Genomic DNA, 6,548 nt, shown 5'->3' on the forward strand with positions numbered 1-6,548 from the left:
GGCTCTGCTAATAATAGTTACAATCTATTGTACTCTTAATATGTTCCAGATGTAGGCAGCCCTGCCTTGTTTAATTCTCCTGACAATTCTATGGAATAGAAATTATCTCCAATTTACACAAAGAAACCGAGTCTTAAAGAGGCTTAAGTGACTTTCTCAAGGCCAAGGGGAAGGGAAGCAAAATACTTTGAGTCTCAGTTTCCCCATCCATAAAGTAGGTACGATAATGCCCATCTCTCACAGTTGTGGTGGGGATTCACTGAACTAATGTAAGCAAATTAAACTGGCATAGCCACAGACACATAGTAGGTGCTCAGTCAAAGGAATTCCCTTCCCCCTCTTCTTGGAGATGGAGATTGTGTTGGGACAGTACATTGGAATCATCTGGGGAGCTTCAGAAAGGACTGATGCGGGGTCCTAGCCTCAGAGACCCTGATTTAAGTGGTCTGGGTGCAGCCTAGGCATCAGCATTCTTAAAACTCACTGAGTGAGTCTAATGCTTAACCAACATTGAGAATCACTGTATTCTAGACCCTGACTGAGTGGAGGGTAGACATTATGTGAGGCTCGCCACTCTGTAAGCTCCTGAAATAGCCTGCTCACTGGTCTTGTGACTTCTACTCCTATCCCCCTCCCCATTCCATTCTTCATTCAAAAACCAGGGGGATCATGAAAAACTCAAATCATTCCCCTTCAGTAACTTCCCATTGTACTTAAGAGTAAAAAAAAAAAAAAAAAAAAAAAAAAAGTTTTACCTTTTTCCAAGGCCCTACATGGCCCACACCCTGCTGACCCTGCCCATTGGTCTCTGTATCACTGTCCCCTCTGCCCTCCCTCTTCAGTCTGTGGCTGGACAGTTCCCATCCGACCTTTATTTTTTATTTATTTATTTATTTTTGAGATGGAGTCTGGCTCTGTCACCCAGGCTGGAGTGTAGTGGCTCAATCTTGGCTCACTGCAACCTCCGCCTCCCAGGTTCAAGCAATTCTGACTCAGTCTCCTGAGTGGCTGGGATTACAGGTGCACACCACGCCTGGCTAATTTTTGTATTTTTAGTAGAGACGAGGTTTCCCCATGTGAGCCAGGCTGGTCTCAAACTCCTGACCTCAGGTGATCCACCTGCTTCAGCCTCCCAAAGTGCTGGAATTACAGTCGTGAGCCACTGGGGGGGCCCCCATCTGGCCTTTAGATCTTATCTTAACTAGCACTTCCACAGGGAGGTTTTCTCTGGCCAGCCCTCTAGGGTTGGTCCCCTCAGTTTTGCTCTCCCACATACTGTTAAATACATGATGAAATGAACAAAGCACATTTAATGTTTTTTCATATTATTATTATTATTATTATTATTATTATTATTGAGATGGAGTTTTGCTCTGTCGCCTAGGCTGGAGTGCAATGGCACGATCTCAGCTCACTGCAACCTCTGCCTCCCAGGTTCAAGTGATTCTCCTGCCTCAGCCTCCCAAGTAGCTGGGACTACAGGCGGGCACCACCATGCTTAGCTAATTTTTTTTTTATTTTTAGTAGAGACGGGGTTTTGCCATGTTGGCCAGGCTGGTCTCAAACTCAAACTCCTGATCTCAGGTGATCCACCTGCCTCAGCCTCCCAAAGTGCTGGGATTCCAAACATGAGCCACCACACCTGGCCTTAAAGTTACTTCATTTGTACATTTGCCTATTCAATGTCTCTCTCCCTTACTAGACTCTAAGCTCTATGAGGCAGGGTTCATGTCTGTTTTTGCTCATCGTTGTACTCCAGTGGCTAGCATAGGGTCTGACACAGAGTCAGTGCTTAATAAATATTTGTTGAATGAATGCCTAAGTGATAATGAATGAATGATACTAGCTCCATAGCATCTTGAAGAACTGAACGTTTTGGAATTTCTTAATTATTTTTTAGAAATATGTATTAATAATAGTTCTCATCTAGTGAGTATTTACTGCGTCTCATTTCCATAGAATGAGAGAACTACAAGGGCCTCCTTGTCTTGCATTCTCTCTCCACCCTCCACAGCTTCTCTGTCTTCTCTCCAGCTCACTGTTCTTCCTCTGCAATCTGCCTTTCAGACTCCAGTCTATAGAACTACCTTCACCTCCTAATGTCCTCCCTTGGGCCCCTCAGCAAGGCCCCTGACACCAGCCAAAGCAGAGGGGGAACCACAGGCCTTTTCTAGAGGCTGGGCTCATGATGCAACTCTAGCACCAGGCATGGCTGCAGGGGAAGATAGGGCAGTGGAAAAGGCAGTGAAGAGAATTAGGATAACAGCCATGATCTGGTGGTCCTGGTGCAGGGAGAGGATAAAGAATAGATGCCTCAGAGGCCATCATGCCAGGTCTTCAGCCCTGCCTCACCCTTCCCACCTGAATCCCCAGCCTGCTAATTTCCCCTGAATCTTACCAGGGCTGTCCCAGCCCTTCAGGGAGGACAGGTGTTTAGAAGAAACCCTACTGCCAGCATCTATATTCTCTTCTTCTCATCTTCAGCTTCATGGCTGGCTGTGCCAGGCACTGCACCAAGCACTTTATACACATCCTCTCAGTTCATCCTTACAGCATCCTCAGGTCATCATGATCATTATTCTTGAACAGACAAGGAAACTGAGGGTCCAAGTGGTTGTGTTATTTGCTCAAGGTCACCATGTTTGTCTGATCTCAGATACCAGCTCTTAACCATAATGCCATACTTGGTTCCCAAAAGGCTACTGCCTGGAACCATCAAAATCCCTAATCCCAAAAGGACAGCTTCAAATAAGGCGGTGTCTTGCACACCTTCTTCTCAAGAAAATAATGGCAATGCAGTTGAGCCCTTCTGTCACTTTGATAGTAGCTTTCCCTTCACGCTTAGTAAAGGTGCTGCAATTACTATGGGCACCTCTGGTAAGAGGAAATTTTAAGGAAGACAGAATCATAGGATGTCAGGCTAGCAGAGACCTAATGCCATACCTCTCAGCTCACAGGTGAAAAAAAAAAGGAGGTCCACAGAGGCTTCCCACACCCACCTCAGAGCAACCACCTAAATTTGCAATTTGAGTTCTGTTGATATTTCTGCCCATGTTCTCATGCCTGAGCTGGGTCCTTTGCAACCAGCCTAGTTGCTGCTTTGGTAGATTTCCATTTTGAATTTCAGCTATCCTACCCGCAAGCCCCTGGGAGCCTCCTGCTTCCTCTCATTTCTTGTGTCTTTAAAGAAAACTCTCCTTGCCTGAGCTCCCTCCCATTGGATTTTGTCCTTTGGAGCTGGGTCTGTCTCCCTCCCTTCCTCTCTTCCTTCCTCCCTTCTTCTCTCTCTCTCTCCTCCCAGCAAGGCATCTCCCTCTTCCTTATTCAGCAGGAGCCACAGGAGGCCTCAAGCCCCAAGTGTCCGCAGCCCAAACATGGCCACATGCCCACCCTCCCTGGTCGGGGCAAGGAGTGTGGACGCCCTTTGGCTGCACTGCAGTGCCTCTAACTGCAGCTTCTCCCTCTCTCTCAGGGTTGCTGAAAGATTATTAGATAATTTTCAAATTTGTAAAGCGCCTTAAGCTCCTTGGAGGAAAGGTGGTATATGAGTGTAATAACAATAACAATCCTATCTGTCAGAGCCATTGAGAAAATGAATCTTGTTATTCTCAGGAAACAGCCGGAGGAACTTCAGCAAGAAACATGAAAATAAAGCACAGAGCACGGCCTCCTGACCAGTCAGCAGAGGGGAAAGTCCCCACCAAGTGTGGAGGGAGCATTCGAGCCCTGCTCCCTGCCAGCCCAGTGCTGGTGCAAAGGGGCTCTCAGAAAGTCACCCAAATTGCCTCTGACACTTCACCAATTAAAATGACTTTAGGACAAGTTGAAATCAACTTAGGGAGTGAAGCATTCTGATTTCTGAGACTCTCCCAAGGCAGCGGGGAAGGCAAGTGTCTGAGCAGGTTGTCACTCACTCAGGAGTAATGATGGGAAAATCCATCCCGGTAACGTGATTGAGTTTGGTGAATTAGTAAGGATGTTTACACTGTGTGCTGCAAGTTGGAGTGGGGCTGGCAGGGGTTTTGACACATGTGGCAGCTTCACTCCTAATGAGGTTCTCGGACTCCACACTCAGCCCGGCTGGACTTCAAGTCGGGCTGGGTCTTACCCTTCAGGTGAGTGGCTAAGGGCAGGGGTGGGCTCTGCAGGCAGACAGGACTGGGTTTAAGTTCTGACTCTGGTCACCACCAGCCCTGTGACCTTGGGCAAAGCTCTGTGCTTCTCTAAGCCTCAGTTTCCCTGTGTACACAATCTGCATTATGATAGCACAATTCATAATGCTGGCTGTCGTAATGAGAAACATGAGATGAGCTATCTTTTTATTTTTTGTTCACCTCCACAGGCCAGCATGGCCACGGAGATAAAGGAAAGCCAGGTTTATCTCTTCTCCCCTGGAGTATCTGTTCCCTTAAGAGCCAAGAAGAGACAAGGAAGGTGGGAACCTGCAGAAAACATAACCACAGTTCTAGTCCTGACGATGCTTCTGCCTGGCTATGTGATCTCAAACAAGCCACTTAACCTCTCTGAGCCTTGTTTTCCTCATCTGTAAAATGGGATAAGCATGCAACTTCTCTGTGGGTATCTGAACAGAACTTCTAAAAGTTCTGAGCAGACATTTGTTGGTATGCAAGGCAATGAGTGGCCTCTGGGAGAAAGTTTAGAGAGGGAAAATGAGAACAGGTTGCTCTTTCTGGTGACCATGGCTCCCTGATGGGGGAAGAGGATTTAAGGACTGACAGGGAGATTGTAAAACCTGAGGGAAAGAGGCAAGAGTGGGAGAGGATCCTGGAATTTATCAACTAGGCTTGCTGGGAACTCACCAGAGGAAATTACAGAGGACTACAGCATGAAAGACTGAAGTCAGACTGGAAACAGACTTCCAGGCAATCAGGCAACAACAGGCCTAGTCCTTCCTGATATCTTTGGCTGTACCTGAGTAAAACCCCAGGAAGGGACGCACAGCCTGACTGTGCTGGAAGGAAGGCAGAAGGATGGACAGGGAGACCCTGAAGATGCTTCCGCAGGACCAGAGAAGGAGGCAGCGGAGGCACAGCAGTCCCTCCCCGAGGCTTTCTTTGAGATTCATCCTCTGGAGGCCTTGTCGGAACCTACGGTGACCCTGAAGCAGGGGCCATGTCCTCACAGACATGCCCAGGTCAGCACTGGGCCACAGCTCTATTATTTAAGTGTTTCATAAAAGAGCAAACCTCCGGGGCTGGAAGAATGACCGGGATCCTGACTCTTCCTGCACAGGAAATGAAGTAGCTGTGTCCAAGCCCTGGCTTGACCTGCAGAGGACTCACCAGCTCTGGCAGAAGTTTCCCAGCCTGAGAGGGCCCTGCTGTGGCTGAGATGATGACACCTGGGCCCAGACTGGGTCCCTCCCCTCCACACAGAGCCAGGACCCACCGGTCCCTACACCCACTGCTTGTGGACTCTGCAGTGATTTTACTGTAATTTCCTCGTTGTTGCAGTTAATAGCATTAGTTTGTTAATTACTGTATATTTTAAAAGTAAGACGAAAGGGAATTCCCACTGGAGACTTGTTCTTGGCTGAAACAATGTGATATGAGGGAAGGAAGAGTGTTCACGGGTAATGAGCTTGCCCTGCTGCTTTCTGTTCCCTTGACAGTGCCTGGGGCCAGAGATGGGGCTGCCAAGGTGGGAGGCAGGGGCCCCCCACAGAGCCCAAGCCCATCCCTGGAGGGAGTCCTCTGTAGCACCCCACTTAACCCCAAAACCTCTGCCCGGGTCTTCTATCCCCAGCCCTGCACTATTGTCAGAGGGAGGCTTCAAGCCTCTAAGGAGGAGGGGTCTGCCTGAGGAGCCCTGGCACCGAGGGAACCAGACCAGAGTGAAATAAGACACAAGGAAACCTGGCCTGTGACAAGGAGCATTGATTGAGTAGGATGGAATTTTTATTAGGAAACAGCTGGAATTTGGGGAGAGGCTGCTACATTTAAATTCATCCTGAGACTGCAGCCCTAGAGGGGAAATGGGAGTTGGGCAGGTGCGGCGGGGGGCGGGCAGGCACAGGTCTTGGCAGAGGCAGGAGCAGCAGCTTGTGGTTGTGCACAGAGATCTGGCTGAGGGGGACAAGCAGGGCCTGCCATTGAGCCCTGACGCTGCTGTCAGGGCTGTGGGCTGGGTCAGCTCAGAGGAAGGGTGCCTTTGGTAACTCATCCAACTGAAGGGGGTTGGTGTGTGCTCCTAAAGCCCTGCATGTTCAAGTTGCCCCCATTCTCCCCACCCAGAGCCATAAGGGAATGGAGGCTGGGGCTGAGCCCCAGGACTCAGGAGGAGTTGGGGGCAGAGGCCGGAGAAGAGCAGATAGGGAGAGAGAGGGAGGAAGGGAGAGAGACTTAAGACAGAGAAGGATGGAGGACTGAGAAAGAAGTTCATACAATCTACAGGAGCTGATTAAAATCCTGGAAGAAAATGTGATGGAAAGACTTTCTATCTTTCTATTGAGACATTTAACCTAAAAGAAATGAGTTAAATAATTTATACAGAGAACGAGTGAAATTTGCTTTGATCAAATTAAAAAA

The sequence above is a fragment of the Homo sapiens genome, chromosome 5 (genome assembly GCF_000001405.40).
Source record: "Homo sapiens chromosome 5, GRCh38.p14 Primary Assembly".
Taxonomy (NCBI): Eukaryota; Metazoa; Chordata; class Mammalia; order Primates; family Hominidae; genus Homo; species Homo sapiens.